Source organism: Homo sapiens, chromosome 18 (genome assembly GCF_000001405.40).
Source record: "Homo sapiens chromosome 18, GRCh38.p14 Primary Assembly".
In the NCBI taxonomy this organism is placed as follows: domain Eukaryota; kingdom Metazoa; phylum Chordata; class Mammalia; order Primates; family Hominidae; genus Homo; species Homo sapiens.
In genome coordinates, this window is record NC_000018.10 from 49,843,222 (window position 1) to 49,861,357 (window position 18,136).

The 18,136-nt window shown below is 50.9% G+C and overlaps 1 protein-coding gene and 1 long non-coding RNA gene across 2 annotated transcripts in view, besides 6 other annotated features; one reads left to right on the top strand and one right to left on the bottom strand.

Annotated features, from left to right (window-relative positions):
• The window catches only part of SNHG22 (small nucleolar RNA host gene 22), a 37,037-nt gene extending 29,199 nt beyond the window's left edge, over window positions 1-7,838 (top strand). The window contains exon 4 of the long non-coding RNA NR_117096.1: window positions 6,416-7,838. This is a non-coding gene — a long non-coding RNA (small nucleolar RNA host gene 22). The remainder of the gene's footprint in view (window positions 1-6,415) is intronic.
• Window positions 1-18,136, bottom strand: part of MYO5B (myosin VB) — a 372,359-nt gene that overhangs the window by 20,433 nt on the left and 333,790 nt on the right. The window contains exons 30-34 of the mRNA NM_001080467.3: window positions 13,592-13,669; window positions 10,228-10,426; window positions 6,346-6,439; window positions 3,925-4,068; window positions 20-171 (exon numbers count right to left, since the gene is read on the bottom strand). Coding sequence (NP_001073936.1) covers window positions 20-171; window positions 3,925-4,068; window positions 6,346-6,439; window positions 10,228-10,426; window positions 13,592-13,669 — 667 coding nt within the window. The remainder of the gene's footprint in view (window positions 1-19; window positions 172-3,924; window positions 4,069-6,345; window positions 6,440-10,227; window positions 10,427-13,591; window positions 13,670-18,136) is intronic.
• Window positions 2,228-2,729: an enhancer, noted in NCBI's record as "H3K4me1 hESC enhancer chr18:47371819-47372320 (GRCh37/hg19 assembly coordinates)". NCBI's record gives its function as "activates a minimal SCP1, AML or CMV promoter by ChIP-STARR-seq in primed H9 embryonic stem cells {active_cell/tissue: H9 hESC(primed)}" and the evidence as "EXISTENCE:reporter gene assay evidence [ECO:0000049][PMID:30033119]".
• Window positions 3,452-3,953: an enhancer, noted in NCBI's record as "H3K4me1 hESC enhancer chr18:47373043-47373544 (GRCh37/hg19 assembly coordinates)". NCBI's record gives its function as "activates a minimal SCP1, AML or CMV promoter by ChIP-STARR-seq in naive H9 embryonic stem cells {active_cell/tissue: H9 hESC(naive)}" and the evidence as "EXISTENCE:reporter gene assay evidence [ECO:0000049][PMID:30033119]".
• Window positions 5,900-7,099: an enhancer, noted in NCBI's record as "MED14-independent group 3 enhancer chr18:47375491-47376690 (GRCh37/hg19 assembly coordinates)". NCBI's record gives its function as "activates an origin of replication core promoter dependent on BRD2, BRD4, P300/CBP and CDK7 cofactors, and independent of MED14, by STARR-seq in HCT116 cells {active_cell/tissue: HCT116}" and the evidence as "EXISTENCE:reporter gene assay evidence [ECO:0000049][PMID:35650434]".
• Window positions 6,192-6,703: an enhancer, noted in NCBI's record as "H3K4me1 hESC enhancer chr18:47375783-47376294 (GRCh37/hg19 assembly coordinates)". NCBI's record gives its function as "activates a minimal SCP1, AML or CMV promoter by ChIP-STARR-seq in naive H9 embryonic stem cells {active_cell/tissue: H9 hESC(naive)}" and the evidence as "EXISTENCE:reporter gene assay evidence [ECO:0000049][PMID:30033119]".
• Window positions 12,877-13,377: an enhancer, noted in NCBI's record as "H3K27ac hESC enhancer chr18:47382468-47382968 (GRCh37/hg19 assembly coordinates)". NCBI's record gives its function as "activates a minimal SCP1, AML or CMV promoter by ChIP-STARR-seq in naive and primed H9 embryonic stem cells {active_cell/tissue: H9 hESC(naive and primed)}" and the evidence as "EXISTENCE:reporter gene assay evidence [ECO:0000049][PMID:30033119]".
• Window positions 13,378-13,878: an enhancer, noted in NCBI's record as "H3K27ac hESC enhancer chr18:47382969-47383469 (GRCh37/hg19 assembly coordinates)". NCBI's record gives its function as "activates a minimal SCP1, AML or CMV promoter by ChIP-STARR-seq in primed H9 embryonic stem cells {active_cell/tissue: H9 hESC(primed)}" and the evidence as "EXISTENCE:reporter gene assay evidence [ECO:0000049][PMID:30033119]".

The following is an 18,136-nucleotide window of genomic DNA, read 5'->3' on the forward strand; positions in this document are numbered from 1 at the left end:
TTCTGCAGGGGCTGCTTACTTTCAGGACTTTCTTAATGCCGTTGATGGTGGAGGTCAGCAGGGAGTGCACCTTGAGATCGTCGTTGGTGTAGTCCGCGTGCCGGATGCACATGTAGAGGATGTAGGCGGGGAGACAGGGCACTGTGCCCGACAGCATCTGGGGCTTCAAGTCTAAGGGCAACGAGAGCAGCAAATGGCAAGTTAGATCTATGGGGGACAATGGAGGCTGTCAGAATCCTCATCTGAATAGACGTGTTTTCAATATTTCCCCATAGCTCATCTAGGAATAGATGTCTCAAAGAGGATTGGGAGAGAAGCCACCCAGGGTACCCAAACTCCCGAGCATGCCTACCAGTAGTTTCAGACACTGTGGTTAAAAACACAAACAAACAAAACCACATTCCTAATTGTCTGCACTATAACCCTGAAACAGGCTTCTAATGCCTCAGCCTAACAATATGGAGGAAAAGTGCCTGCAAGTTACACAGATGCCTCAGTCCGCAGCCAACAGGGGCCCATGGCAAGTGGAAGGCTGAGGACAGGGCCTAGCTCCCACATGGGGGCAGGAACTCCTGATTCGTGGGCACCACCACTTCCAGAAGGCAAGGGCTGGCTCCAGAATTAGACAAATTGTATGTGCCCAAAGACAGGGCCAGCCTGCTGAGGGCTAGGGAGGTTGGAACAATCTCTGGCCCATCAGTTCAGGAACAAATTACCCAGCCGTGCTTGCCCAGCTTCACAGCCAAATAGATCAGGCAGGCCCCCCTTCCCCACCCCGGTGCTGCTGCTTGGCATGCATCTCTCCAGCGGCTCTCTTACTTCCCCCAACTGCTCTCCTCTGTATCCCACACTCCTGTCCCTGCCTGGGCAAGGGCTGCTCTGGCTGGACTGGAAGGGCCTTGTGAGTCTCCCCATTAACTGCAGACTCAGCCCTTTGGCCCTTTCTTGCAAAAGGCCCTGGAGGGACAGGAAGCAGCTGTCAGACCATTTTCTATTCCAGACCATGCCAGCTGAGCCAGACTTAAGGCAACAGGTGGTGGTAGAAGGCCAGAGAACTAGGGGGAAAGGCCTGGTGCAAAGGCAAGATGACAGGTGAGAATGGGGCAGGAGCACAAGGCCCCAGGGGTCTCACCATAGCTCTGCACTGTATCTCCAGCCCTTGTTCTTTACACTCATACCCTCCCAAACGAGGCCTCATGAGCCACCTGTAGGCTCAGAATGGCAATGAAGGGAGGCCACCTCCCTCCCACCTGCAGGTGGGCAGTATCCTTGCAAACCTTCTACCAGGCTGGTCCTGGGCTGGGCTCTGCTGCCAGCAGCTCCAGTTGGTACTTGGGTTACATTGTCCCTGCTCCAACGCATCCTTCTAGTTAAATGATAACTGTAGGCCATAATACTCTTGAGTACATGGTTGACATTTGGCCATTTTATAGGTCCAGCAGATGGCTGTGGATTGGCCATTGGCTCTAGTTAGAATGCCAGTCATTTATCCAGGAAAATGTATTTTGTAGGCCCAGACTTCCAATCCATAACTTCTTACTTCAAACCTGATCCATGTGCAGATTGCAAACAACTTGTCCTGTCTTGGAATGTTCTATTGTGATTAAATAAAGCTTGTTTGGGTGCCCCAGCTAAATGTTAGCATCTTGGGGAAGAGACGATGACACTAGTTTTATTTCTCCTCCACAGCAACTGGCCAGTGCCAGGTACCTAAGAGGTAGGTGGTCGGCAGTCAAGTTTTGGCATTTGTTTGGATGGGGTCTTTTGGAGGGAAGATGACTGCAGGATTTTCCTAGGTAGCTCAGCAGGAGATGACCTTTCCTGGGGCCACCTGAGCAAGGGTCATCTCATGCTGATGGCAGGGTTTTCTCTGTAAAAACCCTGGCAAATGGCAGGAGGGAGCCACCTGTCTGACACAAGCAGCCTTATTTATTGAAAGTTTCATTCACCAGAGATGAAAGGTTTGTTCCTAATTGCATTTGAACAAGATGCAGTCTGTTTAAGGAAGTTTAAGATAAACTTACACCACATTTAATTAATTGCTGGACAACTGTAGGGGAGATTAAGCTTTTTAAAAGAGCAAAATACATCTAAGAAGCAGGCTACTAAAAACACACAAACCAAACAGCTGGAGCAAATCTGTTTAAGGCAGATGTCACAATCTGTTCTTCCTGGGTCCCTCGGCCCTAGGCACAGTGCTCAGCAGAGTCGGACTTCAGTCTTACATAAGTTTCTCTAAAATAATGCTTGCCTTGCCTCTTATTTGAACTTCAAATATTCCTGCAAAAGCTACCACTCCTTTGAAAGCCTCACATTTGAGAAGGGTTTTGCAGTTTTAACACAGCATTTCGCCTTTGACACACTTCACATCATGGGGCAGGCAGGTCAGTGTCATCATCCCATTTCACTAAGGTGCCATAAAGAAGGGAGCTGCTGGCTCAGGGTCCAGAGGATCAGACCACCAAAGATTTCTCCTCTTTCCCACAGGACTCTCTCCTCTAAGACTCTTCCTGGCTCTGCAGGGGGATGCTGGACTGGGTTGGTACAGAGCAGGGAGGTGGCCTGTTGCAGTGGCCTGTGGCAGATGGGGCACAAGACTGGAGGGGAGGGAGCTGGTACGACTGGCAAAGCAGCACTGGGCACAAACCTGAGCAAGCTGCACAGGTCACACAGACTCCCTCCTGGCCCTTGCTGAGCAGCCAAGAGGGACTCGGAGGGGTGGCGGGGGCTCCTCTTTTCACAGAGAAAACCCTGCCCTCTTGGCAGCTAGTGTGGAAGGTCTTTCAGTCCTAGGAGCCCAGCTGGGGAAGGAATTCTGAGCAGTGGTTCTCACAGCTGCCTGGTGGCCCCAGGGAGCACATGGGGGTGGGAGGCTGGCAGGCCAGCCCTGATTCAGCCACATGCCTGGATAAGAAACTGCAGATGATCGCAGGGACAGTAAAAGCCAACCCTGATGAACTTTGACAGTGGGACCAGGGTGATCCCAGACAGACTGCAGAAGCTCAGCATTCCTCACTTTAATGAGCCTGTGAATGTCACCTGGCATCTTGTTATGTGCCTTGCAATTGAGGAGGCCTGGCACGGAGCCCGAGACTCTGCATCTCTCACCCCTTCCCAGGGGTGATACTGATGCTGATGCTGATGCTGCTGGTCCAGGGACCATGTATGAGCAACGAAATACGAACTTTCATTCTCACAACTCCATGCCAGCGGCATGATCCCCTTTCCTGTGCTCTACACAAGAACACTGGTGAGTAGCACAGCCACGGCCATGTGCGGCTAGTTAGGAAAGAAGCCAGGTCTGAACACAGCCCATGTGATTCCAGAGACCACACCCACATGTGCTGTACCACACAGCACTTTAAACTGTAAAGTCCTAACCAAACAGAAGGAGTCTGAATCCTTGATCCACTGCTTCCCAGCTGTGTGACCTGGGCAAGTTACTAGAGTGAGTCTCTGTTTCCTTCAGTGTAAAATGAGAAAGCAGCAGTTCTGACTTAAAGGGAGGTTGTGAGGATTAAAGGAGGGATGAGTCTGGTAGAGGATGTGCTCCAAAAGCATGAGCTTCCATCATTGCCAAAGCACTGTGGCCTGCAGAGAGCTGCACCAAGGAAAGGGGGCTGTGGCTGCTGCTGAGGAAAAGCATGTGGGTGGCTCCCCTCCCACTTCCATCGTATGGGCAGAACAAAGAAGCAGTGGGTCTTGCCATCGAGAATAGCAGCTGGACACAGCAGGAGCTGGGGGGAGGATGAGAGTAGGTGTGGGGAGTGGAAGATGGGGGCAGGTGCAAGGGCAAGTAGGAGACAGAGGGTGGGGGCTGTGCAGGAGGTGAAGGAAGGGGTGTGGGGGTTGTGCTGGGGATGGAGATGGGAGCGGGGGCTGAAGGAGGGGCAGGCAGCATAGGGTGGCACAGAGGGTCCTTACCTGTCACCAGGTTCCGGATGAGGAGGGCCTCGTCCTCTTTGTGGTACTCCAGCATGCCCTGGAAATCCTTCTCTTTCCGCTGGACCGTGACCTGCCTGTTGAGCTCATGGCGCTTCCTCTCACTCTGGGCCAATGCCTGGGCAGCTGAGCAGGAAAGAAAACAGGAAGCATGGATGAGACTTCCAGCTGCAGGCCTGAGGGTAGCGGGCATCTCTGGCGGGTGGAGGATGGGACCTGGGGCAGGGGAAGGGGCATCTCTGGCAGGTGGAGGATGGCACCTGGGGCAGGGGGCATACTGGGTTCTCCAAACTTCCACTCTCTTTGCGGAGTCTGTTCCTACAGCCAGAGCCACACCCCAAGTGTGAGGAGCTCAGCATCCAGCACTGGGGTCCACACTCTGGATAGGGGAGAGGAAACATCCGAAAAGACAGCAGGCAGGTTTCAGACCAGAGAAAACTTGTGAAGGATGACAGCCAGCATGGTCTCTCACCGCTCCTGCATAGCTGCTTCTCTTTCCCTACTGACTTCTAAGGAAAGGAGATACCGTTTTTCTGGGAAGTGCTTGGCCTCGGCCTGGCCCACTACACTCAGTTCCCTGTGTGTGGCCACAACGTGGCCATCGTGACACAGCCGCAGGGCAAACCCAGGTGTTCAGGGCAAGGCCTGGACACTGTCTGTGACCTGTGGGTGGTGGATCAGGGTGGTGATGGTGATAGTAAGGACACGTCCTCAGCCACTAAATGCAGGTTCAGGTTTAGGAAGCTGCCAAGTGCAGTCTTTGCAACTACATAAGATGATGACTATTTGGGAAGAGTTTCAGTGGCAGGGTTGAAGGTATAAAGGCCTGGTCAACCCTCACTCAGGCCTCTCCTCAGCCTCACACCATGGTAGAGGGACAGTGGGCAACCACAGCATCACTCCCAAACACATCTCAGTGCTGACTGCACACGGGACGCTGTCCTAAGCACGGGAACAGATACAATGGCATGCTTAATCTGTCCCTGGCCAGTCGAACTAAGGAGACACATCTGTACATTCACATGGAAACACTATGACACAGCTCAGTCAGGCACCAAGCCAGGAGTGTGTGATGTGGGTGCTGGTGGTGATGGGCTGGAAGGACCCCACGGAGGAGGTGGGATGAAGGGTGGGTGCTGATGATGTGGGTGCTGATGGTGGTGGGGCTGGAAGGACCCCACAGAAGAGGTGGGATGAAGGGCGGGTGGGACTCTTACATCCAGGTTCAAAGGAGCTGATCCACTGGGAAAGGACCAATGGAAGAGGACCAGGACGAGTGACACCCAGGGAAGGGTGCTCCATGAACTCCTAGTGGCTGAAGGGAGGCTCTGAGTGGAGGTGGGGGAGAGTGTGAGAGGATGAAGGCTGGCAGACTAGGGCTGGGATTTCATTCTGCAGGCAATAAGGCAAAGGCAAAGGCCAGACAGTGCTGTGAAAAAACAGGACTGGGAAGCTACTAAGCAATCTGGGAACAGGGGACAAGAACTGGACACAAGGGTAGGGGCAGACACAGAGAAACATCAGAAAAGAGGGAGTGATAGGTCTTTAGGAGTAAGCAAAGCTTGAAGCCAAGAGACTAGGAGAATGAGAAACTGGAGGAATAGCAAATCCAAAGTTGGTGGGCACATGGGCAGATATGAAGAGAAGTGTCCCCCTGGATAGAGATCACAGACATCCCTGCCCTCTAAGACCTTCCAGTCTAGAGGAGCAGGAGATTAAACAGGTAAAATGACAACTGTGATCAGGGTTGTGCCCAACACACAAGTGGGGTCAGGACTGTCTAAGACGAGACTCAAGCCCTGAGCATGTGGCTCCTGAGCTGAGGGTGGAAGGATGTGGAGGGGTATCCAAGCAGTGAGGGGCTGAAAGAGGGTTCCAAGCAGGGTGACATATGTAAAGAGTGACACAGTGAGATTTGCAGCAGGGAGTCAGAGGGAGAGAACATTCTAGGTCTTTCTGGAAGAGTGATTTAAATCTCTACCTGAAGATCCCAGATTGGAAGTTTAATCCTGACACTCAATAGCATGGAGTGAGGACCTTGGGGTTTAGGTCTTTGTGTTACACAGCATTCTTTCACATCAATCTTGCCTCCCAACTTCAAGCCGTTTGAGGGCAGGGACCACCAGGTCACCTCTGGGTTCCCCATTCCTCTAGCCCTGCAGAGCCTTGCTCAGAGTAAGCACCCAAACTGGCTGAATTCAAGTGTCTTTTGTCCATATTCTGGCAACTGCAGATGGGTAAGCTCATGGGATCCAACTTCTATCGCCTGGCTGGACTGGGCAGAGCCACCAAGAAATCAGTGATGTAGGAAGAATGTGCAGAGGGCAGGCAGACAGCTCACACCCACAGGCGTGGCCAAGTATACCTGTGATTCACAAAACACACTCACTCACACCCCCCTACCTTCTAGGTCCTGGGCTTTCTTCATGTAAATCTTCAGTTGCTTTTTGAGCTTCCTCTCATTCTTTTCCAGCTTTTCTACCAGTTCTTTAAGGTCCTGGAAGCAGAGGAAGCAGTGTGAGAACAGACATCAGCCCGGCCTGGGATGGTGGGGGTAAAATCCTGCTTGCAGTTGGAGGTGACCAGTGCGGCCCATGGGCAGCCGTCAGAAATGCGCCAGTCAGGGACGCTGCCAGGAGAGCTGCTCTTCACAGGCTGTTGCCACCTGCTCTGGAACTCAGGAAGTGGGAGATGATGAGTCAGAGTCCATTCTCTCAAGGCAAGACTCCTCCCAGGTCAGGCTCTCTGGCGCCTTGCTGAATCCCAAGCCTCCCCAAGCCAAGCCTCCTCCGGTTGCCATGCCAACCCCCCAGGAGACACACTCAGCCTAGGAGTCCCAGGGTGGGGCGGGCAGCGCCCTGGGAAGGAACGGACAGGTGTGAGAATGCAGGGGGCAGGGAGGTTGGAAGAGCAAGTGGGCAAGTGAGATTATCCAGGGCCCAGCGGCAAAACAGGACACTGGTGTGGCCCCAGACCCTAGCAGCTGTTGCCACTGGAAGCCCATCAGCCCACTGAGACCTAGAACAGCAAGCCGCTGAGGGAGGAGTTTGCTGTCATTAATGTCACCTCCATCCCAGCTGAGCAGTGGTCCTCTGTGGCCAGGGACACAAAGAGGAGAAGAGGAGCCCTGCTCCATCCACCACTAGAGCCGGCTTCGGTGACTAGAGAGTGACAGGAAGACAGAAGCGAGTATTCCATGGTGGAGCCTCTACAAACACATTGGGTGACAACTTTTTAAGATCAGCCTGTTGACAGGAGTTGGCCCAGTCCCAGGGATGTGGCCATCCCAAGCTACACACCTAGTTATAGATGTTGTTAGGAACTTTATTCATCTTGATAAAGAAGCAAATCTTTAAAAATACTTCTTAAATTGAGAGGCATCTAAAAACCCAGCTTAAATGACAGGAGAGGCGGCAGACCGTAAAACCTTATTCAGTGACCTAAGAGTGGCCTCTGCGTGAGAGGCCAGTTGGTAGAAAGGACCCAGGTGTCTAGAGAAAATTGAGCCAGGAATCTCTGTGGCTACCGAAGGTCTCCTGTGAACCCTGAGTTCTACTCAGACTCCGTCTCCCCTGTTAGGTGCCTTGCCAAGCAGCACCAAAGCATGTGATTCCCTGGCTCCCCAGCTCCGCTGCACTGCCACCCCTGCCTCGTGTTCATATAACCCTGTCCAGATCCAACCCCACTGAATCCTCGGCTACAACTCTGACTCTTGCAAAGGATTAACCAACTCTTGGGGCCACAAGACTTGGCCAGCCCAGTGAATGGGGAGCCCAGGGCTGCTCCAGACTGGATCGGGACCAGGACGCTGGTACTATGACCACCATCAGTCCGAAGCTCCTCTGTACAATATTATCAAATCCACAAGATAAAGCATTTCTTATGTCTTTTCCACCATTACTTTGAAAACCTTCACTACACCCTGGGAGGACAGGCAATAAATGCTCTAATGCCTATTTGCAGCATCTTATACACCAGATGCTTCAAGAAGGAAAGATTAATCCAGGCCAGGCTTTGACGCCTGTCTTTGAGAGCTCTGACATCTCAGTCATCTTCTCAGGAAAGCCCAGAAAATCCAATACCCCTCCCGAAATGCTCAAGCAGAGGTGATTGTAAGATCCATGTCACTAACGGTGGCTTTGTGCTAAGACATGCCTGGGTGTCTAACCCCCAACCCCCTACAAATCCCAGAAGGCTGAATTCTTAATGTGCTAAGGGGAATTATATAGAGCTATGCTTCCCAAACTTTGTAGGGGTATTGGAACCACCTGGGAATCTTTAAAGCTTGAAATCAACAAATTTAGAACAAATAAAGGGAACATAGTGCTGGCCACAGTGGTTGTAAACTTGTGGAGACACGAAGGCCCAAAGTCCTAAAGCCTAAAATTACAAAAGCTTACAGAATAATGAATTCAATTCATAAGGAATCTTGGAAATGAAAAATGAGCACATCTGAAGATGGCGCTAAACTTTTCAAGTTGCTACCAGGAGGGACAATCACATCCTCCCCTCTACACAGACCCCTTTCCCCACCACTCCAGCCTCAAGCCATTTCCCCTGACTTCCCTTACACTCCCTGTGAGACTGCCAAGCACCTTGTGCTGTGGTTACTTGTGTATACACTGTCTCCTCTCTGCCTGAGGTCAGTGCTTCACCAGCTGGCACACGGTAGGCAGGAATGCTTGCTAAGTAGGTGAATATACATCACCAACAGCCCCTGGAACCTGCTGCAGCTGGCTCTCCTTAGGGGTCCTAGCCTCTGTCTGGGCAAATGAGGAGGACCACGTTCTGGAAGGAGTCTCTCAGCAGGCTGCAAACTGGAGCCCTCCTCCTCCTCCTCCTCCTTGCCCGGCCAGCAGCACAGGCCCCTACTCATGACCCAGTGTCACCACCCCAGCAGAGGGGCCCACTGCACTGTTTTCTTTTGCTCTCTTAAGGTAGGACTCCTAAGGTAGGACTGACTACCCACCTCTTTCCAGTCACTAACTCTCCTAAGTGTGGCCTTGGCAACCTTGTGTTGGTGTGCCGTGAGCTAACGCAGTACCTGCATGGTGCACAGCCCTCTTTATAGGGTGATTGTTCACTGCACTACTTGGTCAATGGCCCTCCAGGGAACATAGGCCACCAAATGCATTTCCTAGGCTGCCTCCTCTACCTGGCAGAAGCTGGCCAGGTAGGTTTCTTTAACATGGTGCATTTCTTTTCATAAAGCCACCAGGTAACACACGTATATGCAACAGAAAGTGACTTGCAGACAAAGAGAGGGAGAGAGAGGGAGGGAGGGAAGATCATGTGTATGTAAGTGCTATTCAGCTGTGAGTCTGGGACCCCACTTTTCCTCTTGGGATCAAGTGAACTGGCCACCCAACCACAGATGATCTGGTTATAAAGTGAAATGACAGCCATGGCCGGACTCCTGGACTGGATGCACTACGGGCACATGAACGTGCTGCACTCTACAGGCACGTTCAGCTCCAGAAGGTGATCGGCACTGCTGAGCCCCGCCCTCCGACTGCCTTCACTCCTGTCTGGGTGCCTTGGTCCATGCTTTTCTTCTCCCTCCCCCTCTGCCAGTCTCCATGATTTACATCCCCTTCATACCTCCTGTCTCAGCTCAAGCCTCATGTCCTCCCAAAAGCTCGCCCCACCATTTATTCTCTTCCTGTAATACTCATTGTTAACTCAATGCAGAATCATGCTTTTAAAAACACTATCTACTTTCTCTTCTTTATTACATACCTTGCTTCCCCTACTGACCAATCTGCAAGCTCTCATAAGACAGGGGCCCTCTTCCATTTCTCTGGCACCTGCTGGGGCTCCTTTGGTGACTGTCTGCAAAGAGGCCCCAACAACTTCTTCCACTACTCCTCCCCTCAAGAGGTAGAATCTCTCTCTCGCCATATCTGGCCTAGCCATGAGACTGGTTTTGATCAATGGGCAGAAGCAACAGTTAGTTCAGGGACTGAGTCTTGAGGAGTCTCGCTGTTCCTGCTTTCATCCTCTTGGAAGCCAGCAGCCAGGTAAAGCAGCTCAGACCAGTGAAATTCAGCAAGAAGGCAGGTGACGCCCCCCAGCCAACGACAAGGCCCCAGACACAGGAGTGGGGCTGTCTGAGATCTTTCAGCTCCAGTGAAGGGGTCTTGACCGGAGACTTCTAGAATCTCTGTTCCTACTATAGGGCCAAGGGTCATGAACCTTGTCAGTTTTGCCAAAGGCAACCCCGATCCCATTTGCTTCTAGAACGTGACTTCCCAAAGCTGGGGTCCACTAGACATGGCTACCCACCAGATTCTCGTTGGTCAGCCGGGATATTTCCTGCTGAACGCCGAATTCCACCTGGGCCTCTGGGGAGAGCAGTAGCGTCTGGCAGAAGGTCTGCTGCTGTTTGTCCATCTCCTCCTTCAGGGCCTCGAGCTGAGCCTTGAGATGCTCCACCTCCTCCTCATGCTCCAGGCTCTGGGCCTGCAGCTGAGCCTCCAGCAGCCTGTGCCAGGGAGAGGACAGGTGAGCACGTGGCCCAGGCCAGGGCCCCCATCTGAGGGGACACAGGCAGAAACATAACAGGGGAGCAGCCAAGCACACAGCAGCAGCGGTTGCACATCCCCCAGAGGGATGAATGCAGCAGGAGACAGATGCCATGGGGACCACAAGGCAAGCAGGCCAAAGTGTCCTCCTCTCAGATGATGGGAAACCAAGGCCAAAGGCACTTCTGGTCCTAAGCCTTTCTCTCGACCCTTGTTCCTCATTCAGTGAGCATAGTTTAATGGTTTGGGATTGAAAGACTGTCTCCCTGTCAAAATGTCCATCAACAGAAATACATCTCTTAAAGCATCTTTTAAATAAAAACATCTACATCTGCCCCAAAGTTCACAAGAACCTCCTTCTTAAGATAAAACTCTGGCAAAACTGAGCTAATTATATTATTCACATATTTTCCCTGTGGCAGATTCTCCACAAGTTTTAGAAAGGCAAAATATTAGCCCCTTTTTTATCTTTACCATTATTACTAGCCCCATTTTATTTTATACATACAATTATTGCATATACAATTTTTACATACAAGTTTCCTCCAGCCAAAAATGAAAACTAAGACTATTTGCAAATGATCTTGGGGAAGGTGTAAGATCAGCTGGTGTCATGACAAGAAGCAGAGAGACCTAGAGATCTTGCAAAGATTGAGGAGAAGTCTTATAACATTCTGAGTCAAAAGGCCCAAGACCAAGAGGTGCCAGTTACCTGGGCAATGCTCCCATCATAATAGAAGGCAAGAGATTAATGAAGGCTCACAGGCAGCCGCATCTTCAGGAAGTTAGATGCTAATATGACCATGATGTTGTCCTTCTTGGACTTAGTTACTTAAACCAGCTTTCCGATTCAGTGCAGCAGGCTTCATATGGAAGAAAGCTAGGGTGCTGGGGGAGAGGTACTGTACTGTAAAGAGCTTCCAGACATGGTTACATGGAAAAAATCCACCCCAGTGTCTTCCAGGAATGCACATAACAATTATGACCAAGGTAGGCACACAGGTAGGAACTGGTTGTGCCTCTAACACAGCTGTTGGAGGCCGTGGCTGCCCTGGAGGAAGGCGCCATGTTTTTTACAGTTCTGATGGTTTGGGAGGTGAGAATTATCATAAGACAGGTGGGACCATGTCTACAAGGGAGCAAGAGAGAGAGGGAAAGTCTACACTGTTGATATAAGCAACCACATTTTATGTAGCTGAGTCAGCTCCATAGCAGCACTGGGTGTAACACCTGACTCCCAGTGGCTCCTCAACAAAGTTACATGAATGAAGAAGTGATTGAGAAAATCACTCATTCACTACAGGCGATATTACCTATTACTAAAGAAAAATAACATGAGATTTGTGGAGGATAATTGGGTAATTAAATCAGGATTTTAAATGAAATACAGCATTTAGATAATATCCAATATTGGCTACAGTAAGCACATTAAAAGTAGTCACCAATAAGTTATACATTTAATGAGAGAGAACAGACACTCTTGGGTTCTAGGCGAGCTGCCCTGAGGATTTCTCTCCTGCCTTGTGCAGCACGTTCACTGTTCATGTCTTATTCTCCAGGTGGACTGTAGCTGACTCAGCCAGGGTCTGTTCCTACTTAAACATTAGGCTAGCCACCTCATCGTGCAGGTGAGAAAACTAAGGCCAAAAGAGCTTTGAGGCCACGACCAGTGGCAGGGCTGATTCTAGAAACCAGGACTCTTGATTCATAGGTCTGTGCTTTATTAATGCATTCAGTTGCCGATTCATGAAACCATGTCTGATCTGCTGATGGAGAGGCACGAGGAATCACCTGGCTTCACACAAGGATCCTTCCTCCAATAAAACAAACTACTTGGTGGGACAGAAATCTGATCTTATTGAATAATAACCATGATAGTAATAGAAGTAGCAGCTAATATTTATTATTCCATGGTTACGTATCAGGCATGTGCAAAGTACTTCACCTGTATTAACCTTATTCCTTATAATGCCCCGTGAGGAAGGTCCTATTCCATTCACAAGGAAACAGACCCACCATGTCACCTTGCTCACAGATTGTGGGGCCACATCTGAACCCAGAGAAACACTACCCTGTCAATCAGCTGAGTAAACTTTCTTTTTCCAAGAAGAGATGCTCTTGGTGCAACAGTACCTCTACTACATCCTCAGCAGGCGGCAAGGAGAAGCAGCATGAGGGCTTCTGGCTCCTGCTCCGCCACCACCTGGCTGAGGGAGCTGGGTCCAGCACTCATGCCACCTTGTTGAGTCCCGGTTTCCTCTCTGGAAAGCAAGCTCGATGACTACCAGTCCATCTCTTGTTGAGTCAGGCTCCAATAGGCAAAGCTATGCCACAGCTCTTAAAAGCCACCTGCAGTCAACTGGCCTATGGTGTGACCATCACATGGTGTCCTTTTGCTGCATGCCTACCCTGTCTGGCTAAGCTGCTCACCCACTGCTGAGGGCCAGTGGGTTTCAGGCACAGACTCTGGTATCAGCTGGAACCAGGTTCAAATTCTGGATCTTCTGTTTCACCAGCAATTTCCTTAAACCCTCCGGGCTTCAGTGTCCCCACCCCATGAAGGTGCTGTGAGGCCAGATGTCAAGGCGCATGCACTGCACTTGGCTGCCATCAGCTCCAGGGAGTCCCGGAGATCAGGACCAGCACACATACTGATGGCAGGCTCTGGGGGCACAGGTTACATTTGGAGCACAGCCAGCAGCACAGATCAGGCAGACATTTTTGGCTGATCCTGCAGTTAGGAGGGCCAATATGTAGTGTGAAAGCAGCACAGGCCCAGGATTCCCCAGAGGTATGTTTCCTTCTCAGCCTTGTTCTAAAGAGCTGTGTGCCTGCCGCTATGTGACCTCCTGCTCTTGTCTCTTTCTTCACCTATAGAACAAGTAGGCTGGACCTCAGGAGGTCCACTAAATGCTATCACCTTGACCCAAACAACCAGCCACCCTCAGCCATATCTGTACAGCCTGGGCACAGTGACAGATGGTCAACCACAGGGGCTACCAGCCAGACTGCATGCCAACTGTTCCCCGTGCTCTCGCACCCACTGTAGCTGAAAAACGGTTAAGCATAGACATGAGCAGGCCCAACGGACAAAGCAGACACAGGAAGAAAGGAATATGTTCCACCTGGCAACTTGCTTTAGGCCTTGGTAGGCCAAGCCGAGTTCTCCATCTTCATTTAAATATCCCCAATCCTCAGTCTTGCTAGAAACAAAGGACAGAAAAACAGGGTGTCCAGTGTAGACGGAAGAGACAGGCAGGCAGGGAGTCCTGGAAAGTGAGGAGATTCTAGCCAAGGTTTGGAAACGAAAAAAAGGCAAGGCTCAAGAACTCCCATTTTCCCTTCCTCCTCTCCTGTCACCTGCAAACAGCATCTCTCCCATAAGTCCTCCAGTTTCAGGTACTGTCCTGGAAGTGGGTTCATGTGGTCTCATGTGGGGCCTGCTAATAACCCCAGGTGGGAAAGCATGCTGCCCCAGAGACAGCAGAGGGCCAGCTTGTTCTGGTAACTCTGTAAATGGCAGCAAGGCAGCAGTGTGGGTAGTGTGGAAGCATTCACATAGCCTCACACATGGTGCTTCCCTCAATCAGATTGATTCAGACAAGCACAGGGAGAGATGCAAAAGGGGCTGGGAGGAGAGAACCCTAAGTGTGCATGGAGGAAGCGGGAGGCAGTGAGCAGGCTCATGGTGGGGAACACATTGCATCTGCAGAGCAGCATGGGAAGCCCCTGGGGGACGTCAGGCCCACCCAGGGTAAGGAAGGAGACTGCAGACACTACCTGCTTTTCAATGCAGATCTTTCTGGGACTCCTTAAAGGCACAAAAATATTAACTAATCTTAACTTCAGCTCTCCTTGCAGGGTCTTTCTCCAATAGCTAAAACAAGTTTTGTGATGCCCTAGATGAGAACTGAATGATGTCTCCCCTTGACCTTGGGACTGGGGTGCGTTACCACTTTTTACTCAATTTGGGAAAGCAGAACTCTTTACCCCTCTACATGCAAACTCTTTTGCTGTGTCCAAGTCACCCAGTGTCTGCCCCATGCCAGCAAGGGCAGCTCCTGGAGGTCAGGTGTGTCCAATGTTCCACCTCCACCTAGGTCCTCAACCTGCGCAGCCCTGGGCACACAGAGATACTCAAGGGCCAGCAGAGTTGGGTGGAGGAGGGCAGGTAGGGGCCTGCTGCCCCCAGCAGGACTCTGCCGCACCTCCCTGCTCCTAACAGCCTCTGTTCCTGGAGTACTCCTCCTGCAGGCCAGATTCCAGCTTTCCAGGCAGGAATAATGGAGCAAGAACTGCATCCAAACAGCCCTAAATGAGGACCTGTAATGCCCTCGTCCTCATTCCCAGGGTGCAAACCATCTGTAAACCAAAAATAAAATCCTAAGGCCCCCCACCATCTGAAGGGACTTCCTCCTCAGCCAGGGCTCTTTTAATGTTTAACCTGAGAGACTGTTTCAGGCCACGATAGGAAGTGGGGGTCCGATGTGCCTCATTATACCTCTCCATCATTAACATCAACATAGACTTTAACAAATCCCAAACTCATAACTCAGCATCATCCCGTCTCAGATGTTAGTGCCTGCATTTTACTACGGCCTTTCATGGCTGGTGCTTTAACCCAAAGGCACAGCTCACTGGAGGACTGTAGGCACCACTGCAGTGATTCTTGGGGAGGGCCGGAAGTAGAGCGCATCAGCGCTGAAAGGGAACAAGTGCAGGGATCCTGGGCTCCACCCACCTCCTTTCCCACACCAGAGAGACACTGACTCCTGCGCCAGGACCCAGGGTCTCCAGACCTTGAACTAAAGCTCCTTTCCAGCCTCCAGCCCCCCACCCCCCAGGGAGGGGCTGCTGGGGCTCTGTCTCAGAGGTTCACCTCACCTCTGTCGTCCCCGTAAACCTACAGACTGCAGAGCTCTCTAGGGTGGGGCACGCGAAGCTGACTCACACAAGGAAGTTAGGATTAATGAATGCCCAGGCCACCAGCCTCACAGGGCCATACTCCCAGAATTCTTAATTCTGTAACAAGCCAGGCACTATTGACAAAGATAAAAGTAGAGAACTGTGCAGCCCAGGCAGCCCACAGTGCTCAGGAAATCAGACACACGAGTAAACTAAAAACCAGTCAACCAACTTGCTTCAGCCGTTGGTTCCCAGAGGAAAGAACCCCTGGAGGAGCTCCTCCAGCTCCACTTAGGCCATTATGGGCCAAGGCCAGGGAGGGAGCGCCACCTCCTGGTGGGAAAAGAAAAAGCCCAAACTACTTGGCTCAGGATTTTTTGTTGAAAATGTAAGTGCTTGATATCAATTAATAAATCTACAAATATTTCCAGAGAGACCACTGTGACACACAGAGATAAGTTAACTCACTGCAGTCAGTCTCCAGCCACAGGGGGCAGTGAGGCTCGGCATCCAGGAAACTGGCTGGAGAACCTAGCATTGGGGCAACTCCCAGCCCCACCTGTAATGAGCCCGTGGCCCGGGCTAATCACCTCCACGCCCTGGGCCTCTCTTTCTTTACGGGTAAAGTGAAAGTAGCCTACTGAATTATCGCAAAGGTTTCTTCCAGATCTTTAATTACTAACCTTATTGCAAAGGTTTCTTCCAGATCTTATAAAAAGCCAGACAAGGCCTAGGATAATATTTACTTGGCCTCTGTGAAGATATTGGAAAAACAGGATCTATCAACCATGGCCCCGCCACAGTTAAGAACCTGCCTTCCTGGGGAAACAGACAAGATTCCTGCCAGCTCAGAGATGGTCAGTTTCCCGGTTCTAAAAAGCCCACTGTGTGCTCCACAGACAGCCTAACTTCTTTAGTTCATACCCAAGCTTTCTATTCAACCTCCTAGCATATTCCCTGGGACCTCTGGGAAATGGAAGGCACACTCCAAACACCAGGAACAACAGAGAAACATCTGAGGCCCTAGGCCTGGCCATATGAGGGTGAACAGTTTGTGGATTAATATGACCTAGCCATGAAATTACAGCAGACCCAAACTGTGCTGCCAACTCAGGACCAGCAGAACTTTGGGGAACATAAGGAAATGATCACCTCCTTGAAAAAAGCCAAGAGCTCTTAGTCAGGACTGGTTAAAGCTGGGCCCTCTGGGGAGGGGCTGGGCAGAAGCTAGCTCTTCCCGCCTTCTTTGCCATTCTGAGCAAGGCAGCCCACAGCAGCCGAGGCTCAAGGTCAAATGAGCCAACAGCTCCGAGCAAATCTTGAGACTGCACACAGTTCCTTGTCAAACACAGTCTCCGCTGTCCCGGACAGGCCCCTGGTGTGTGTATTGGCGGGGGGCGGCGGGTGTGAATAATAACCCCAGGTGCGCCCGACCAAGCCCAGGTGCCAATGCCTGGAGGCCTCCTGTCTTGCCGGGGACCTGCTGGATGGAGAGGAGCTGCTAGGAGGTTTTCTGGGACCTCGGGAATGCACCAGTCTCACTTTGGAGTTTTACACTCTTGATAAGGCTTGGGTAGAAGTGGACAGGAATCAAAGGAGCACTGTCAAAGAGCCAGACCAGAGCCCTGGCCACACTCCTGCCCCTACCTAACTCTGACTTTAAGTGCTCACCCCGAGGTGAGGTTGGGCTGAGGGCAGTGGCAACTTGTGCCCTCCTAAACCACTTCCCCATCCTTCTCCCATATACAGCCCTGAAAAGAAGACAAACTGCCCAGCACCCAGCTCATGTTCACAGCCCTCTTCCCCCTTCATTTTCCTATATATAAAATGGTGATAATGATGCTGGTGTCTCTTAGTTCCCAGAGGTAAAAAAGGAGAAAGCTTTGTGGAAGCAGAAGTGCCACCCGCATTCCTGCAGCTCCTCTCAGAGCAGCTCCTCAATAATAGCTTCTCTCCCCAGAGTTCAAAACAAGGGAAAAGACACAGTTATAGGGACCAAAACAAAACTCTACAAACTTATGAAGGTTAGCAAGTGATAAAAGTTCTGAACTTGAGGATCATGAATGCTTAAAGAGGCTATGACTGGGAATGTGATGGAAGCCCCCAGAAATCTAAGCAAAATTCAGCATATGAGTGTAACTTCCTCTAGGGAGAGGATAGATGTCATCAAAATTCTAAATGGTCTTTCACAAATCACACATGTGTAGATATAATTTATATTTAAACAGTAGAACTCTCCATTACAGGAAAACTGTAGGAAACGCAGAGCAGCTGTCTATCTCCAAAGCACCCCAGTTGCCAGGGTGGCCCTCATGGTAATGGGAATCCCCTTGTCATGGGCTCCACAGAATCCCAGTTGGGTCCCTGTTCCCTGCCTCTCCTCCCTCAATGCTGGGATTTGCAGCAATCATGAACACTTCCCAAAGCTAAAGGCCAGACTGGGAGAGAGGCAGGCCCACCATGGCCACTTCCACAGCACCTGGTGCAGCACACACTGCGAAGCTGGCTCTTCAGGCCTCCACTCCCCAGGGCAGCCAGCTCCTTTTCTGTACTTAACTCAGTTTCACAGGCTATTAATTTCCTATTGTACACCAGGCTTGCTGGGAACAGAATTATTTTAAGATATAATAAAAGCTATTTTTATTTTATCACCATCATTATTATTGCTGTAAAGGAAGACAAATCCAGGGTATTAAGCAGCCCCTGGGAAAACCTAAACTGGGGTCTGGATCCCTGACAACCGCTGCATGAATAAAAGAGGCTGC